The sequence below is a fragment of the Homo sapiens genome, chromosome X, assembly GCF_000001405.40.
Source record: "Homo sapiens chromosome X, GRCh38.p14 Primary Assembly".
In the NCBI taxonomy this organism is placed as follows: Eukaryota; Metazoa; Chordata; class Mammalia; order Primates; family Hominidae; genus Homo; species Homo sapiens.
The window spans coordinates 21719350-21739885 of NC_000023.11; the positions used below are offsets into that span (position 1 = coordinate 21719350).

General features: G+C 41.0%; 1 protein-coding gene across 4 annotated transcripts in view; it reads right to left on the minus strand.

Annotated features, from left to right (window-relative positions):
• SMPX (small muscle protein X-linked) overlaps window positions 1-20536 on the minus strand; it is a 52139-nt gene that overhangs the window by 13372 nt on the left and 18231 nt on the right. The window contains exons 4-6 of one of the 4 annotated variants that reach the window (XM_047441939.1): window positions 18199-18348; window positions 16626-16635; window positions 8928-8932 (exon numbers count right to left, since the gene is read on the minus strand). In XM_047441939.1, coding sequence (XP_047297895.1) covers window positions 18214-18348 — 135 coding nt within the window. In that variant the 3' untranslated portion in view covers window positions 8928-8932; window positions 16626-16635; window positions 18199-18213. Of the gene's footprint in view, window positions 1-7937; window positions 8279-8927; window positions 8933-14306; window positions 14409-16625; window positions 16636-18198; window positions 18349-20536 lie in introns of those variants that run through there. The other 3 variants (NR_045617.2, XM_047441940.1, NM_014332.3) reach the window with 3 other exon arrangements.

Sequence of the window (20536 nt, forward strand, 5' to 3'; positions counted from 1 at the left end):
CTCTACTAAAAATAAAAAATTAGCCGGATGTGGTGACGCACGCCTGTAATCCCAGCTCCTCCGGAGGCTGAGGCATGAGACTCGCTTGAACCCGGGAGGGGGCGGTTGCAGTGAGCAGAGGTTGTTCCACTGCTTTCCAGCCTGGTCAATAGAGTGAGATTCCATCAAAAAAAAAAAGAAGAAGAAGAAGAAAAGAAAGAAAGAAAGAAAGAAAGAAAGCAAAAGAGCAGGAAAACCATTGAATGTGGGAGCAAGCTGAGGAGAGGGAACAGTGTGCAAAAGCTAAGATGTATCACTCAAACAATGGATTTTTAGTTCACTTCTGGATTTGCCTCCCTGTAGAGGTTCTGCCTTCCTCTCCCTCCTTTTGGAACCCCTCCCCACTAATGACTCAAGGACATGAAGAAAAGACTTTCCTCAGTGCTCACACTATGCACTGTGCTTATGTGCTGTCAGGGCTTTCTCTGTTAGAAGCATCAGAGAAACTGGCTTCACATTTGGAAATAATCTTCCTAATCTCCCCAAAGATAAACAACTTTTGGTGTTTTAAATAAATGTAAGAAATCCTGGGTGGTAAGGATCAGGAGGGGTGAAAGAAAAGCAAATACTGAAATGTCACAGCTATGTGACTTTGAGAATCTCACTTCTTTGGACCTCGGTTTTATCATCTAAAAAATGAAGGGGGTAGGTGGCTATGGTAGGCAGCCTTCAAGATGTCTCCCAATGATTCTTGCCTCCTGGTATTCATATCCTTGTATAGTCCCCTTCGACATAGAATAGGGCTGGCTTGTGTAATCAGTAGCATGTTACAAAAATGACAAAGTATGAATTCCAAGGCTAGGCCATAAAAGACTTTGCTGCTTCTGCCCTGTTTTTTCTTGAATCACTCACTCCAGGGAGAGTTGACTGCCATGTTGTGAGGGCATTCAAGCAGCCCAATGGGTGGGTCCACATGGGAAGGCACCAAGGCCTCCTCCTGATAGCAGTCATCACCAATTAGCCAGTGATGTGAGTGAGCCATCCTGGAAGTAGATCCTTCAATCTTAGTCAACAACTCACTACAACCTCATGAGGGACCCTAGGCTAGAACCACCCAGCTAAGCCATGCTAAATTCCTGATCCACGGAAACTGTGAGACAATATTTATTGTTCTTTTAAATTTTGAATAATTTGTTACACAGCCAAAGATAACTAATACAGCTGCCTTAGCCCAAGTTCAGCTCTTGTATTTTATGTATCAAGGAATAGGCGAATTGATGGAAACCATGAAAAGTTCGTGTTTAGTGTGACATGTCAAAAACTGGATCCTGGCTACAGGGTAGGACCATATTGCTTGGGCATTTATGAAATGGGGAAGAAAGATAAGTAGCCAGACTCTAGAGAGGTGGCATCCTGAGAACTTATGGATTCAGCTTTGTGGGAGTGGGCAACACAGCTGGCTGACCTTGAACCAAAGTTTACAGTGCAACTGCTCAGCACCCAGTGATTAGTCCTTAGCATGTCATACCACAAACATAACCCACTTATGTTTATACATGCAGAGACTGAATTTGTTAAAAGAAACGCCAATGGAATGGGCACTTATTTGGGTTCTCCCTATAATGAGTCATTCCCAAAGGGTGCAAGTGGGATTATCTGAAGGGAATAATGGCCCTGGCAGTTTTTAGAGGGAGATGAATTAGATAGGGGTTAAAAATTGCTGAGTTCATAGTTAAACCCAGGTGATTCTCCAGGGTAGGGTACATATCTGGAAAGCAGTGAGTATAGAGAGATTGCTGCATTAGGCTGGGTCTTGGTTGGACTAAGTGACATTGATAGTCCCCTAACCTGTAAGAATATGACTCTATATATTGCTGGGTAGACACGAGTCACAACCCTGACAAGACAGCACATTTATTAGTGGGAGCTAGAGTATTCTCAGCCCCTTCTGGGCCTAATATGGCTATTGTTTGGACTCATATGGCAGTCCTGAACTTAGTATCTCTTTCCCATGTCCTATCCCAAATAGAAGCCATGGCTCACCACTGGTTCACCCTATAAATAAATGCACATGTATGCTGCATGACTTTCCAAGAATGCTTGGCTGTTTTCCACCGTTGAATACTTTCATCTCAGCAACATTCAACCAAAGAAATACTTTCCCAAGCAAGAAAGATTTCAGTCTAGTTCATCAAAGGACGCTCTGAGAAACACCTTATCAGTCCTTCTCAGACCAAGACACACATCAGGATCACCTGAAGATTCTGTGAAACATACCCATTCCCAGGCCTATCCTGCCACCCTCTAAGAATTAACTGATAGCAAGTGGCACTCAGCAAGTCCAGGTGATTCTAATGTGCACATAATCTGCTGAGGACCATAGATCTAACTGTATCCAGCGTTTTGCTGCTGCCTGACTCTGTAACTAAGAAAATTAGAATACAAACGATGGTTCTCACCCAAAGCCCAAGGCTGGACAACTGAGTTGTTCAGAAACCAGCTTCAGTTCTTCTGTCATGATATTTGAGAAAAGCTATAAAGCTGCCTATCAGGCTGGGTGCAGTGGCTCACACCTGTCATTCCAGCACTTTGGGAGGCTGAAGCAGGAGGATCTTTTGAACTCAGGAGTTTGAGACTAGCCTGGGCAACATGGTGAAACCCCATCTCTGCTTAAAAAAAAAATAGCCAGGTATGGTGGTGTGTGCACCTGTGGTCCCAGCTACTTGGGAGGCTGAGGTGGGAGGATCGCTTGAGCCCAGGAGGTCAAGGCTGCCATGAGCCACGATCATACCACTGAACTCCAGTCTGGGCAACAGAGTGAGGCCCTGTCTCTAAAAAAAATAAGATAAAGCTGCTTATCAGTCTGCCAAGTAGCTGTGATCCTTTGGTCCTGTCGTTTCTTGGACTTGAAAAGTGTTCAAATTTGGAAAACCTTTTGTGTTTTACTTCCACTACCTGGACAGCCACAGAAGTATACTTGAATGAAAATTATCAAACCCAGCTTTTTTGTCTCAGCATATATTTGAAGCTTGGCAAGGCCTTATTTAGAAATACTTTCATTAGAGATTAGAAAAATGACTTCATTATTCCCAGTCATTTCATCCAGGCATCTCTCTGTATTACTTCTTACAACTGCATGTAAATCTAGAACGATCTCAAAAAGTTAAGAAAAAAAACAGATGATGGGCTGGATTTGGCCTGTTGGTTCTGGTTTTCCAACCCTTGAACTGTAACAGTGTCAGCACTTACTAAACAGCTACAGAAATGAACATTGTATCAGTAAGGTTAAGTGACTGGGGGGTAAGTTGATGTAGAATTCCTCATCCTTTACATTAGGATTGTCCCTCATAATTTACCCAGCTCATTTCACCGCCATGGACCTGTCTGCCACATTGAGAGTCAGACTGGGGTAATGATTAAAAATCAGACAGCCTGGATTTGACTCCTGGCTGCCCCACTATCTAGTTGTGTGACCTTGCGGAAAGTCATGTAACTTCTCTGTGCCTCAGTTTTCTCACCTGTAAAATGGAGCTCTTACGTGTATTAACTCACTGACATCTCACAAGGTAAAGGGCTTGCAATAGTGCCTGACCATTGGAAGCACTATTACAAGCATTTGTGATTATTGCTTCATTGATGCTTAGTATATATAAATTTCAGCAAAGAAATCTGACCAAGCTTCTCACTGTACTTTTGGAGACTAGCCTGAAAACTGTGGAGCCGGTGATGGGATAGTTGGGGGACTTCTGAATGTCCAGACCTAAACAATCTGATTGATGGCTCTAGGTCAGTGGTTCTCAAAGTGTGATCCCAAACTACCACCAGCAGCAGCAGCATTCCCTAAGAACTTGTCAGAAATGCAAACTCTGGAACCCATCCCAGACCTACTGAATTGAAAACCCTAGGGCTTTGGCCTGGCAATCTCAGTTTCAGCAAGCTGTCTAGATGATTCTGATTCATGTGAAAGTTTGAGAACCACAGCTCTAGGCCAATCTGAAAAGGGTTTCCTTTGCAGTCACCCACAGGATGCTGTCCTTGGTGCTGCCCTGTCCCCACTGTCCTCAAGGTCTCAGTTAAAGATGAGAAAAAGCTGGCTTCTCAAATTGGCAGGTCATCCATGCAAAGCCAGCCTGGAGGAATAATGACACTATTTGATGCTAGAATGTGGACCTGAAATGATCTCTGTAGGTTGGAAGTGCCAGCCAAAATTGTTTTGATTTTTAATAGAGATAGCTTTATTTTTACCTAGGTCAAGTTTCTAACTCAAGTTTCTTGGCATTTTAACTCCTACATGTTCAGTGAGGTTGTCAGTGGTGCTGTGGGTATCCAGGCACTGTGACCCCAGTTCGCACCATAGCATAGGCTGCAGGAACTCAACCAGTAATGGAAGGTTGGCCCTGAGTACAGGAGCAAAGTCTGGCCTACCACCTCTTGGTATTTCAGAATTTGATCACATAGTAAAAAAAGGGTGCCACACAGGAGAGAAAACTGAATCTGGACTCAGTTATGAAGGGATGGCATTGGGGGTGGTGATGAGGATCAAGAACCATTCTAATGCAGTTGCATTTGCCATCTGTGCTGGTCTAGAGCATTATCAGCTGTTTTGTCTTATCTGGGGCATGAGCTCCTCTTCCTATGTGCTGGGAATCCCTGCCAGCCAGGGGCTCTGACACCAGCTGGGTTGCTGGGGTGGCCTGCTCCTGGCAGCGAAAGCAGGTCTATAATTGGCCCATAATTGGATTGGATTTGGCTCGGAATGACTCCCAGGCTCTCTCTCTCCTGACGGATAATAAGCAGTAAACTTTGTATGTGACCTCGCAGGGTGTCTGGGACACCATTTCTTAGCTGTCAGTGAAAACCAAGAGCTTTCCAGAAGAGTTGACCTTTAGGGCAATGGTTTGGGGGCATCTTGAAGTGAAGTTTTCCCCAGACCCATTTGTTTGCCACCTGATCTTTCTGAAATTAAGACATTTCAACCCAATTTCCAAATCCTGGATCAAATCTGTCCTCTACCATGTGTGTGCATGTATGTGCATGTGTGTGTGTATGTGTATGTGGTATGTTTGTATGTGTATAAAGATTACAGTACGACTTTTTAAAATTAAACAAGAAAATAGTAAACAGAGGTAGAAATTGAGATAATACATTTCCTTTGAAATATATCTATAGATAGAGGTGGGTAGATTAATCTTGAATATCTTTCCATGTCAGTGACAAAAGTCCTTCTGGGTATAAGCAGAGCCATTATCTGTTCAATTCTGGCCCATGGAATGGATTGTTACTAATCCCCTTCCTGGGCACCTGTTGCAGACTACATGGTGATCCTACTTTTCTGATTGAAAGGGATTACACCCATTTTCTACAGATGGACTTCAATAGGCTTAATTAATAATTAGTCTTAAAATGAACCTTCTCTGGAGGGAGAAGACAATACAACCCACAATCTTCCACCCTTTGTGAAGTTGGAAGTCATGTGAGATTGAACTGCAAAGTCAGTGCCTGCCCTACCTATCTCACAGAACTGTTATGAAGTTCGAAAGAGAGAATGGACATGGAAGGATTTCGGAATTCTTAAAATCAAGAGCAAGGGTTTGTTAATATTATTGCTACTATTATCCCCTAGTTAAAAGATGTGATTTTGCGTATGTTATAAAACTTCCAAATAAACCTGTTTCCTCATTGCCTGGCCTGTATGATGCCCCTTAAGCAGCCATTTCACAAAGTCTCCAGGCTGCCATGTTCTCTGGCACCTGTATTTACTAGTGACTGCCTACCTATTATTGCAACATAGACATAATTTGATTATCAAATTAAATAATGTCAGATAGAGGGAGAAAACACCTCTGCAAGGTAATCATAGCTGGAAATTAAATGTGAATGGGGCATAACCCAGGACAGGGTGTCATAGAGAAGACACCCAGGGCACTTCTGGACATTGAGATCGACATAGCTCTCATTTTATTTTCTGGACCAGACTCCAATAGTACATAGCCTATGCACAAAAGATTACTAGAAAGGTGAAATGTCTATTTTTGGCCATAAAGCCCATTCAAAATGCTCAGGAAAATGCTGTATAAAGTCCATTGTTTGACTTTTCTTTGAGAGTAGGGCAATGGCAGCTCAACTCTCCAAGTATTTCTTAAGCTGATTCTCTTCAGAGAAAAATCAAATTACAAACGAGATGCATTTGCTAGTTAAAAATTAGGGTGAGAGGAGGGAAATTCCTTGAAGTCTCCAAAACAAAATGAAAATGCTAAAGTGAAATGTTTGTAATTTTGCTGTCTTGAGACAAAGGCCTTGGAAACATGAGCTGCTGCAGGTTTTGAAAACTGGAACTGCAATGCCTCCTCCAGGAGAAAGAGGACAGTTGCAGGTTAGAAATCATCTCATGAACTGGCTCAAGCTCAAAGGATTCAGGTGATTGAGAAAGAGATCCTCCCAGATGTTTGCAAGTGCTTCAATGAGCTCATATTAGTCACAGATAAGATAATTAATGGATTTTAATTTTCAGTGAGCTTTCTTCATATTCGCTGGGGAAATGTGCAGAGCTAATCTTCAGACAGTATTTCACTTAAAAACCAACCAACCAATCAACTCCTAGCCTTGGAAGCAAGGGGCAGAGGGCAGAAGGTATGGGCAGACTGTGAGGACAGCGAAGGGAATGAAGACTTCCTGGAAGCTGCTGTGTACCAGGAGCACCATCTGAGTCAATTCACTGTCTTTATGGTGCCTTCTCAAGACTTACATTATTATTCCTATTTATAGATGTGGCTCAGAGTGGTCAGGAAGTTGCCCAAGGTCACTGAATTACTACGTGCCAGAGCTGCAAGTGGAGGACGGGTGTGTCCCACTCTTTCCAGCACATCAAGTGTCCAGTGGCTGCTGTAAGGTGGGCAAATGTGCGCAGAAAGCCTGTCCATGCCACCTGACACAGCCACAGCCCACTCTGCTATGATCGCCCCACTTCTTCTCGCAGAACTCAGATTCCCAACCCTTCTCAGCAGTCAGTACCAATGAAACAGACACAACACTCAAAATGAAAACTGTTTGTCTTTCCTATAAAGTAGGAACACAAAACTGGAAAATAGGACACTGGGATTTTAGACTGGTATTGACCTTGATTCCATTGCTCCTGGGACTCACTGCTAATAGATAGGGGATCTTAAATTAAGTTCATTCTAATGGTAACATTTTGTAGTTTGTAATAGCTCCCATGGTATGCAGAACTTTAGATATACACACTATGTGATTCAGTGCTTCTCAGCCCTGGAACTATCGGTGCCTGTTGTGGGAACTGTCCTGTGTGTTGTAGGGTGTTTAGTACCATCCCTGGTCTCAAGCCCCTGAATGCCAAGAGTACCCACCCTGAGGTGTGACAATCAAAAATGTCTTCAAACATTGCTAAATATTCCTCAGGGTGGACAGCAGAATTGCCTCTGGGAGTTAGGTATTTTTCTCATTTTTCAGATGAAGAAACTGAGGCAGAGCAATTATATAAAATCACAAGACAAGGGAATAGCAAAGCCAGGGTATAAACCTATACTTGAATCACTTCTCTTCCACATTTCTTTCAGTGGGATAACTGTTTTCCAACATCCTGTCTAGACTCTTTCTTTGTCACCTGTATTCAAAGGCCGTGCCTTCTCATTTCTTCTTCATTCCTGCTGCAACCACTATGTGCTAATATCCCCTCTCACATCCTTACCCAACTAGACTGTGAGTCCCTTGAGGGATGTTGTCTTGTATCACCTATTTCTAACATAGTAGTGCCTGAAACAGTCAGTGAATAGATGTTCATTTCATAAATGAGTGAATTTATCCAAGCACTTTAATCCTTCCCACTCAAATCCAATTCATGCTGTCAACTTGCATTATGAAGAAGAAGGTTAATTTGGCCAAGGTAAATTCCAACTAGCCCATGTACAAAATGATCAGGCAATGAAAACAGTCTGAATAGATGGATGATTGAACACTCAGAATTTAATAAACCTGTTGGGGTAGTTTTCAGGAATTAATTGCTGCCTCTGAAACTAAAATGCAGCCATGATTCTTATCATCTGTATCCAAAATTGGGGGATCAGGTAAGAGCTAGGCAGTAAAATATGTATTACTTGTTAAGGATTCTATTACATCGGTGACAGGTGGAAGGAAGTGCCACTATCTTCTAGGGTGGAAGGAAGTGCCACTGTCCTTCCTATAGAAGGCATCCAATGACTTTCTGGCAATAGGACACGCTTGCTTTCGGCTGTTTATCCAGCAGTCCAGATGAATTGTTCTGAGCAACCTTTGTGCCACCTGCCTGGACAAAAGAGACTCCAATCTGTCGACTGCTTAATAGAAATTTCCCTCAGTGAGAAGCCAATTGACTGACCCTGCCTCGGATTAAACCAGCCACCCCCTTGCCATCTGCATAAAGTCCTAGACTAGAGGGTGTGGAATGATCAGTTCACAGGCAGGGAGCAGTGGTAAGGGAGTACAAGTTAAATTTGCAAGTCTTGATTTGCTCCTCGTGATTCCTTCTCCTTCTCAAATGCCACAGCATGTGCAGGGAGTTAAAATGAGCAGCATTGTCACGATGCAGCCAACCCTGATTAGACAGCCTGGAATTCACTTCCCCAGTTTTCTGCGTGGGCTGCACACAGCGTGAGAGGGAATGAGCGAAAAGGCTTCACGGGTCGGAGACTGCTGCACCATGAATGACACAGACTCCTGACAAGCCCTTGCTCATCTCCGGAGCAAAGGCAGGTGGGCTCTGCAGCGGTCTGGTATTGCTCTGCTGCAGTTTTGTCAGCACTGGGCAAAGTCCATGTCATCCCCAGCACTGCCATAATCGGAGTTTTTCTGTCTCCTCTCCTCTCCTTTCCCCTCCTCTCCCTTCCCCTCCTTTCTCTCTCTCTCTCTCTCTCTCTCTCTCTCTCTCTCTCTCTCTCTCTCTCTCTCTCTCATACTTTCTCTGATGTTTATGGGCATTAACTCTTCCTTTTTGTCAAAATCCTTAAAAAGAGCAAATTATTTGTGCTTCCATGCAATGTTTTGCCCATTAAACCGTGAACCAGGGTAGATGCTCTGGCATATTTGAATCCCTAATGCCTGATATACTCAGCACCTGGTGCATCTTTTGTGTTTAGTAAATGCTGACTAGCTAAAAGAATGAATATGTGAATGAATAAACAAATGAGCAAACAAAGGAACACATCAACCAACATGCCAGGGTTATGTTTCAGTGTTCGTCTTTGTGACAGTGACAGTTTCTGCAGTCTCTTTAGCCTTTGCTTGCTTTGCACTGACCCAACATGGTGAAATATTATTTGCAAAGACTATAGCTAAAAGAACATTTTTTAAGAATGCAGTGGGTGATAGTGATTAAAAGGACTGGCTGTTTAGTGTGACAGATGATGGTTTGCACCTCACCTCTGTGACTTACAATCTGGGTGACCTCGGTCAAGTTGCATAAGCTCTCTTAGCCTTCACTCTCCCATAAACAAAATGAGCATTGTAGTAATACCCCATGCAGTCAGCACAAGGAATGAATGAAATAATGCATGTGAGGTGCAAAATATGGTACCAGGCATATCACAAGCATATAATAAATGGGAATGTTCATGATGACAATAAAAATGATGACATTGATATTGATGCTGGTGACTACTAATGCTTAATGTTAATACTTTAGAAGACTTGATGAGCTGCTGAGATAATCTGCTTTCTGATACATTTGAGATGAAAAAATAACCTATAAAAATAGTTGGGTTTGAGGCAATTCCACATAGACCATATACCATAAATATGTTTAATCTGGCAATTGACAAGAATCATATTTAAGAGTGCTTCATTCCTAAGTCTTAATTACTGTTAAGAGATTATAAATATTGGCAATTAATTACTTTACTCTTTTTATTACTGTCTTAATTTCTGTGACGTGCAATGCATTGATTGCTTGGAAAGCAAAGTCCGCAGCAAGCTGGACCTAACATCAACCTTTCAAGCAGGTAAATCAGGGTTACTCACTCTCAGCAGTATTGACATTTGGGGCTGGATCATTCTTTGTTGTAGGAGGCCATCCTTGGCATTGTGGGATGTTTAATAGCATCCCTGGCCTCTCCTCACTAGAGGACAGTAGCAGCCCACCCCTAGTTGTGACAATTCAAACTGTGTGCAGACATTGCCAGATGTCCCCTGGGAGGAAAAATCCACACCCTCCCCCCATTGAGAACAAATGAGATAGAGTAATGAGTTCCATTACATTGAGAGTAGAACAGGTGCCAGGTGTAACTGTCTTTTGGCCCATGGAGATGTGTGTGCCAGTATAGGAAGATCAACAGAATTGGGTTCGGAGTCACCTCTGCTTTCCACCAAGCTGGCTGAAGCAAATGTGCTTCTCTGGTCTCAAGTCTACTCCCTAAAAGCTCTCGCACCAATTCCAATTTCTTCCTGATAATTCACACACTAGACCCTCCAAATCTCTGTTTTAATAGAAACTACACAGGTAGCTTCTGTGTGTTTACTGTTGAGAGGCTCTTAAAGCAACTGCCACAATCAACTCAAAGTCTTCTTGTGTTCACTCTCAAGTCCTCTACACCCACACAGACTGTAACCAGGGTCTAAAACGAGAGTTTTGCCAGCCAGGAAAACAAATGAACAAGACCTTGATACAGTTCAGAATCACTGCAGAACCTGTCTTTATCCTAACCAAGTGAAGATCAGGAAGAATTTAAAAAGAGCATCACAAATCAAAAGAAATGTGGCTTCACTAGAGAATGAAAAATATCAGCATAAAACCATTTCCTTCAGAGAAAGTGAATAGAGCTCTGTAATTGGGTCAAAGCAGGGAACATTTCAAAAATGAGGACAAAAAATTTCCACAAACCACAGAGAAGACATTTGGAGAAGTGTGTTTAAGTCTAGTTCTATGTGAAACAATAAATCAGTCCTCTGTCTTCTGGCAAAAGGAAAAGGTTATGAAATCATGATAAGTCAAAGACTATGAGAAATAAATCATCCTAATTCTGAAGGCTGCAAAGCAACATGAAAACTAATCTTGTGATAAAATGTAAAGTGGAAAAAGCAAGATACAAAACTATACAAGTGCTACAAATGATGCTATATAAGAAAAATATATAAGAACCAGTTCCTATTTACTGAGTAATTACCCATCCCAGGTACTGTGCCTGGAGATACTTTTAAAAATACATCTCCCTAACCCTTCACAACTACTGATTGAGAGAGGTGCCATTTTCTGCTTTTATCAAACAAGAAAATAGAGGCATAGAGCGCAAAGTTGCAAACGTAGAAGGAAATGAGACCAAGTCTTCACAACCCCAGATCAACATATTGTTAGCAACTTGGTTGTATTGCATCCCAGAAGTAAACCCAGAGGAAAAGACTAGAAGGGGAAATACCAAAGTCAGTATTTTGCTAAAATGGCGATCTACTGGGCAATCATTTTTTATTTCCCAGTCTCTGTTACATTGTTATAGTGTTTATACAAATAGATTTATTACATTTATTATTCCTTACCATTTGAAAGGAATGATATTTCCATTCATGCATCAATTTAATCATAAGTTTACTATAAGATGATAAAGGGCATGTTTCCCAAATATGGAATAGGTGCTAATATTGATTTGATTGGTTGGTTATGGGATTTGAGATCTTTTTTAATATAGTCATTTATAACTGTAAACTTTCCTCTAAGTACTGCTTTCATTGCATCTTATAAATTTGGGTATGCTGTATTTTTGTTTTCATTCGCCTCAAAGTATTAATATTTTTAAATGTACCTTGTGATTTCTCCTTTGACTCATTGGTTATTTAGAAGCATGTTGTTTAAGTTCCACAAGTTGTGAATTTCCCAAACTTCCTTCTGTTATTGATTTCTAATTTCATTCCATTATGGTCATAGAACATACTTTGTATGATTTCAATCCTTTTAAATTTGAGACTTATTTCATGGCCTAACATATGCTCTGTCCTGCACAATGTTCCATGTACACTTGAGAAGAATGTGTACACATGTACTCTGCTGTTGTTGGGCAGTGTTTTATATGTGTGTATATATACATATCCACACACTATACATATAATATATATACACACATATATGTGTGTATGTGTACACATACACATAATGTGTGTATGTGTACACATACACATTATGTGTGTATGTGTACACATACACATTATGTGTGTATGTGTACACATACACATTATGTGTGTATGTGTATATATACACATTATGTGTATATGTGTATATGTGTATATGTACACATTAATGTGTATATGTGTATATGTACACATTTGTGTATATGTGTACATGTACACATAAGTGTGTATGTGTATGTGTACACATTAATGTGTACATGTACACATAAATGTGTATATGTGTATATGTACACATTAATGTGTATATGTGTATATGTACACATTTGTGTGTATATGTGTATATGTACACATTTGTGTGTATATGTGTATATGTACACATACATAATGTATATATACACATTATATATATATATATATATGTTAGGTCTAGTTAGTTTATGGTGTTGTTCTTGTCTTATATTTCCTTGTTGATCATTTATCTAGTTATTCTAGACATTATGGAAAATGGGATATTGAATTCCCCAATTATTATCATTAGATTGTCTGTTTCTTCCTTCATTTGTGTTGGTTTTTGCTTCATGTGTTTTGGGGGTCTGTTGTTATGTACTAAATGCACTTTTTAATCAATTGTCTGGGTATATCAATTTGCCCTTCTTCCAACACTCTCAGAATTAGCCCTTGAATCAGTAGGAATGATGGTGATGCATGTTTAACATTTAAGAGTAATGAGCGCCTTATGTTCTCCCGTATCAGAGATGACAACTCTCTGGATGACAGGTTGGTAAATATGTCTTATCTAGACGTGGATGTTATTTGAAAAATAAAGCCAAAGAATTCTTGAATACTAAGTTTTCTTCTGGTTTACACGTCTTTCTCCTCTTTTGAGGAATATGAGACAAACTTGACATTTTCCTTAATTTTTTAGTTTCCCAGAGGAATACAATCAATTAATTAAAGTCAAATTTCTGGGCCCATTACTGATTTTGGTCAACAATGTTAACTATGGACCTTTTGAGAGAAGCTAGTCTTTCTTTTAAAGTGGTAAGCTCCCTAAGATTACAAGGACTTGGAATGTCTACATTTCTAAGTGATCCCAGACTTGCTGTGGTCAGGGCACCGGCAACATCCTCCAGACTTGCCCTGTGTGCCTAATATGTATCATGTGAATTGCAGCCTTTAAAGGAGCTATGCGATAGCATCATAAGGAAGATGTAAACAAGAAAACCAATACATTACAATTCAGTAAGTTTGTGACAGGATAAACAGAAGATGCTAGGGATGGGGCAGAGTGCTGGAGGAAGAGGACTCTTATGGACTGCATGTTTGTGTCCCTCCCCCAAATTCATATGTTGAAGCCTTAATCCTCAATGTGATAATATTAGGAGGTGGGGCCTTTGAGAGGTAATTAGGTTTAGATGAGGTCATGAGTGTGGGGTCCCCATGATAGAATTAGCACCCTTATAAGAAGAGGAAGAGACATCAAAGGACACAGCAAGAATATGGCCATCTGCAAGCCAGGAAGAGAACCCTCACCAAAACCCAACAATACTGACATCCTCATCTCTGACTTTCAGCTCCAGAATGGTGAGAAATAAATGTCTGCTGTTTTAGCTACCCAGTCTATGGTATTTTGTTATAGCGGACCGAGCAGACTAAGATAAGGGCACACCTCCCCCAACAGGGCATTATAAAGATTCTTTTCAAATCTACAAAATCCAAAATCAGGGCTGGCTAGCTGATGTGGGGTATGAGATAGAGACTAACTTGAGATTATGAGGCTGTGTATGGGTACAAAGGAACTGCAGATTATTCCAACTCATTCTCATTTACTGCCCTACAGCAGTGTTTCTCAAAGTATGGTCCAAGGCCCACTGGTTGACCTCAAAAGACTTCTCGATACAAAAACACAAGTGCTTTCTTCAGTTCCTAATGATGAATGGGGATTAATTCCATAGATTCTCACGTCTCTACACAACCAAAACCTACTAAGTGAGCTATCAAGAATCAGTAAAATTTTGCATTTTTCTAAAACCTTAGTTTAGTATACAATCATGAAGTCTGACTGCCACACATGTGGCCATGCTGCAATGTCCAACACAGACAGAAGGGATTCTTGAAACTTCAGAAGGAGAATTTCTTTTTAGAGCTTCATCAGTTCCAAGGCTTTCAATTGCGACTTTCTCGGTGCTTATTAGCATCATTGTAGAATTATTCTTAGGTTTTACCTTTGCTAATCATTTCTTTTTCTTGTAATTGATGCGTCATTACCACTTTGATACTTATTTTGTTCCTCTTCAATTCTTTGATATCACTGAGTTCTTTTACCACTGGAAAAAGAGATGAGATGGTGTAGGCAGGCTGTGGGGTTTTATTTTGTTATGCTCCAAAAGTTTAAGACGTAGTGCCTAGAGGATCTCTTTGGTCTCACTAGACTGGTCTAATTATTAACAATACCCTGGACACTCCATTTGTCCAGAGGTGATCTCTGAGCCTCTGTTTAAACCATTCCATTCCCACTGCCTCTTTGAAATTATCCCTGACCCCAAATCATACCTTAGCCCCTCAAAAGTCATAACATTATCTCTGCTGCCTAGTTGTTAGTGGGTCATAAACAGCCTTGGGATATCTTTAATAATTAAGCTGCTATCTAATTCTTGAATTGTTAGCTACCTTTTGAAGTATTTTATCTTTCCATCAAGACTTAAGTATCCTGAGAGCAGGGACCAAGTTTTATATCTATACATTTTACTACAGAAAGAAGAAAGTACCCATGGTATAGAAGCTAGTTTCAAGGGTTCTTTACTGAGTACCTATGCTCTGATCTAAGGGTCGGGAACAAACAGAAATGGACACAAAGTCTGTTTGAACACCAGCCCAGAGCGGTTCTGCAGGTTCCCCAGACCTTTGTCCATGAAGCCTGAGGTGGTATCTGCTACAACTGTAAGCAAACAAGCTGACAGTGGTTTCTGATAGTGGCCCTGCAGGATTCCTGATAATGCAGCAAACAAGCAGGATTGGAAGTATTGGAGGACACCTGGTTTCTAGATTTTGCCACTGGTCCTGCCTCTTCATCTGGTTCTTGGACTTTCTTAAGTCACCATCTGGCTACCTTAAATCACAGCCAGGAGGATTCCAAAATTTTTGTGGCTGAACATCCTACCTTCCCTGTACCATGCCAGTTCCAGCCTGGACTGGGGCCCCATTTGGGACATTCCTGTGTCTTTTGGCTTTGACTTGGTATGTGCTGTCTCTATATTGCCTGGTCTGGTTCCGGTTTGGGTCTAGGCCCCCACTCCTTTTCCATAAGCCATGATTTCTGGTGCCCAACGGGGTAGTCACTGGCCTTTCTGATTCTTGTTCTGTAATGTTTTTAATTGATTTCTGTGAACAATTCTATCCATGACACAGGGCATGGAAAGAATCTGAAATCCCACATAAAAGGAGGCACTGATCTTGGCTAGAATGAGATGCTAACCTGTCTTATGTGTCTAAAGTACTGTAATAGTTATAATATTATGTGGACCTTGCGCCTTGTGGTTTTCACTGTGTTTGACACTATGGACATGATGGACTTATTCAATCTTCAAACAATGATCTGTTTGATCAAATAACTGGACAACACAGGGTGAGGGTGGGTGACAAAGTGGTGACCCAAGAAGAAAAAAAATCAATCCAACCAGTGAAGGGTTAAGTGATGGCTGGTCCAGGGTATTTACTGCTTATGAGTTCACTGAATCTATCAATGTTAAGAAATGTTCTCCTTCTGCGACCACAGACTATGACTACTGAAGTCTCGAAATTTCAAAATATCTGCAGGAGAAAAATAAGTCAAAAGCAAAACAGCTTGCTACAAAAAGTAAAGATCATTCCTTGGCTTAAAACAATGACTGTACTCATTTGGAATTCAGATCAATTACCCTGACAACTTAGATTTTCACATTACTGTAAGAATAAGGAAAAATAGGTCTCTCTGAGTGGTTTTACATTAGAATTTGTTAAGGAGAGAAGAATCATTAAAGTCTTCTCTGAGAAAATAAAGTAACAAAAATGTGTTCTGGATATTCTGGTACATTTTCAATATTTGATTGAGTTGTTATTCTTCCTTGTTCCCTGTAATCACACAGCCAAGGCTACTGAATCAACCCCACTGCTGAGTAACACTGCGAGATCCTCTCTAAGCTCATTTTAAAACCGCATTCCTCTGAATCTTCAAAACCAAATTCTTCTGGAACTGGAACTGAGGTTAAATTTAGGTCAACATGGTTTTCATAAAAGTAAAAACCTTTAAAGTTTGCATTAAAAATTCGTGTGTCCAACTGAACAGCCTTGGTTGGGTGATGATAATAAATATTACCAAAAGTTAAGTTCCCCTCTCCAGGCTTTCTAACAAGGAAGTTCTGAAGTTTCATCCCTACCATATTGAAAGATTTCATCTCAACTTGGCAACACAAGCAGGACTGAGTGTGATACTCAGTCATCAATTTGTTCCATTCTGTCATCAGTAGCAACAAGTGCATGTAGCCACATGTCAGGTTAGTTCCTGCTCACATCAATTTGTCCCCATCCAGGTTCCTGGGATTCAGTCTATGGTCATAGATCCACTCTGTTTTACTCTTACTCCTGTGTTCTTTTATGTAACTGTGCTGAAAACACCAGATACTATTGTTTTATTTTAACTCAAAACGGCTCCTCTCTTTCTCTAACTATAAAATATTTTCGGCTGAACTAACCTGCAAACATCCTAGTAAGTCAGTGTAAGTGTAACACAAATAACACTGCCACAATGCACTGGACTGTCTGACAGAACATTCTGTTCCTCATTCTGTCTAGAGGAGAAGACACAGCGGGGCCCTATCCGCCCCACTGCTTGCCTCTGCCATCCAGTCAGAAGATTTCACCCCAACACCAACAGAAAGCATGCAATCCATCTGTAAGGTGTGGTGGGAGGAAGGGATTGAAGCAATATAACAAGTAGGTGATAGCACTAACTTTGAAGGCAGACTCCATTTTTAGAATACATGATAGATGGGGAAACTCAGTCTCTCTAAGACTCATCTCAAAAATGAGAACAATAATTGAGTATCATGAGGCTTAAAAGAAACAATGGACATAATGTTCTTCGCACAGTATCTTGCTCATGGTAAGTGACGAATAAATGTTTCTAGTGTGCAGCATGTAGTGAACACTCAATAAATATCGATTGAATGAATGGGTGAGTGACCAAATGAATGAATGGACAATCAACCAGATAAAACCTGTTTTATGTTCCTAATATAGATTCCTCTCCTCTAGACTTAAATTTCTGCTTAAGAAATGGAATAGATTGTACATTGCGGGCTTAGTAATGTTGGAAAAGGGTAGATTTGCTCCCAGGGTCTCCTAGGAGAAAGAGTGAAGACTTGGGCCAATTCCACACTCCCCTGCTGGCAGAATTCCCATACCAGTCCACAGGAGCCAGGTGGAGGGTTGTCTGAACCCTCACCAAGGGATCATTATTGAACAGATGCAATTAAAATAAAAATAAGGTCACAAGCCCTGCTTGCAGTGCCTTGTAAGGCAGCATACAAGTTTTGAGCTACCCTTAACCTCATCCACACCTAGAGTCGTTATGGCATCCTCTTGGTCTGCCTTACACACACCTGGGTTACTTGATTAAAGGACTGAACTCCTGGGTCTCTGCCTCTTTATACTCCCAAACTTGTTCAGTTCCTTGATCCTCTGATCCTCTAGCTCATGAATAGTTTGTTGCTTTTTGTGATACCTGGGTGAGGAAACTGAAGCATGGAGTGAGGGAGGGCTCCCTGGACCTCAAGATGAAAACCTCAAGGCCTTTTCCCAAGCATCTTTCCTCTCCCAACTTCATCCTTCCACAACTAAGAAGGATGATCAGAAAGAGAATGGCAGGCTAACATCTTCAATGGATCTATGACTGGTGATGGAATAAGACAGGCCCAAAAACTTGGCTTAACCAGAAAACTGCACCAGAAATACTGACTTAAATTGAAGGCACCTGGTATTTAATGAACTCTTGTAGAATTCCAGATTTCTTCTGTGGAAGGCTTCCTTAAACCATTTTACAGAGGACTTTTTGAGACAAAGAAGATAGTTTTTCACTCACCTTTTTTCTTCCTACTACTGTTCAGCTTTGGGGACATATTTTAGTTCACTTTTAATATTCTGGATTTCCGATAGATTGACTGCAGGTCCTGGAAGTTTCTTCGCTCCTGGAATTGGCTTCTTCTCCTCATCCGAGGTGGGAGGAACACCCTGAAGAGCAAGGAGAAGAAATCCAACTCACCAAAAATCACATTTGATCTCTTTGGGCCATAAGCATGAACCAGAAAAAAAAATTAAAGTAACAATGATGTCAAAGTGTGATTCTAGCAGAGTGACTGTCCCTTGTGTTGTTGAGACAGCCTTAGAGTTTCAATAAAATCTCCTAAAGTTTGTTGTGAAGTGTGGAATAAAGTTGGAAGAAGAAAACAAGTAATTTCCACATAACTTAGAAAACACTAGAGTATGTTCAACTTCTGATAACTAACAAAAATTACTACTAGTTCAAAGGATTTGTGTTTCCAAGAGAAGCATCTTACAAGATTGACTTTAATTTGTAATCATACAATTATAATATGCCTGACAGCAAAGATTTGTACAATGTTAGAGCATGGGATGCATAAATAAACTGAAACAAACGTAAGCAAAACCTGTTTGAATATGGGCACGACAAGACAGAGTGGCAGAGGAAGCCCAGCTCTCTCCTGCTTTGGGAAGTATTTTAAATTTCCTATCATTGAATGTTATATTTTTGTTGCAACTTTAGGGCAGGACCCACATCCTATCCTTTCTTGTGGCATTTCCAGTGTCTGTCACAGAGGTGCACGCGCATACTTGTTGACTGTTGTTTATTTGGATCAATCCCAAGAATGTGCCATAATGAAAATCTATGCCTCTATGTACATACACCAAACACACATACAATGGTAACTATAAAACAACATCAGTTGCTGTGTGTGGCTCCGAGAACTTCAGAAACTCATTTATACAGAAAAAAAAAAAGTTGATTATTAGCCCATTCCTTCTATTTGCTAGAGGTGGTGTGTAGGGGAGGATATGTTCTCTGTGGCCCCAGGGAAAGGTGTTGGAGGAACATTTGATCACCGTGGCAGCCTTGAGAACGCGCCTCTCGGATCAGTTTACTGCAGAGAGGATAATTGAATGAGGGCTCCAGCTGCTTCACATTGAAATCCAGCCATCCATCACCACGCTGAGGTCACACTTCCCACGGCTGCTTGTAGCCAATGACTGAGTGCGACAGGAATTCTAAGGCGGGCCCATTCCTGGGAGACTTGGGACTCCTCTGCGGAGCGACTTCACCTGGAGAACTTGCCTCAGTACGGCACTGAAGTCTGAGATGCTTCCACCCAACCCTCTATCCCTCTCTCCCTCCCAGCCTCGGGCAACTCCCTCCCATTTTTCCTTACAAGTGTTTTCCCCAGCAAGTATCTTTGGGTCAGTTTCCTGAAGGACCCAAACTAACACAGACTGGCGCAGATCTCCATCTGCTTGGCCAACAACTGGGTGAACCAATACAGTTCCCGGGAAAAGAAATAAGTAACTGCATGTTTGCCTCTCACCAGAGAGGGTGGGCCCTATGCCCTATGCCCCGCCTCCACCCCACCCTTACCCTCAACCCCCACCAGCAGCCCTGTCATTTGGGTATTAAAGCTGATGGTGTGTGTTAATCCCTGTCTGGATCCTATGTCTAGTTCTCAAATTGGTTAGAACCTAAAGGAAGAAAGTATTCAAGCTTCCCCAAACTCTAACAAATTACTTAGTAGTCACGTCCTTTATAGAAATGTTTTTAAATTGTTTATCGGAGGGGATGAGTAGACATAAAATATTGAGGTGCTGTTCTTCTACTAAGGGCTAATGGCTTTTCCTACAGTCATTTTCTTTAAATCTGGTACAGTGCTGATGAAATAGCTAACGTTTCACCCAAACAAAATGATAAAGTATTTCAATGTGGACTATACCTGCTGTAAATATCTGGAAAATACTGTTTCCCTGGGTCAGTGTACAGAGCCCTAGAATCAGCTGTTTTTTGTCATGCACACACATTTATCAGTTATAAATGTAGATTTAGAAGCAATAATTAAAACTGTAAAGCATCCACTTGGAGGACTAGATATTCCAAAATGTTCTTTGCTATGCTTTCAGAAAGAATTTTTTAACAAGGCTATAAAGTGCTGTGTGTGTGTGTATGTGTTTTATATATGTGTAGTGGTGAAATGAAAAATGTTTCCTCACTTATAAATGTTTCCACGGCTGTTAGGTGGGTAGACCTTAATAAAGAAGCATGAAAGAGAAAAATGTTTCCAATTCCTTCTGTTAAGTTCCTGGATAAGTCACATTTACTGACTTTGTAACATCAAAATGTTCTATATTGGCACATTTA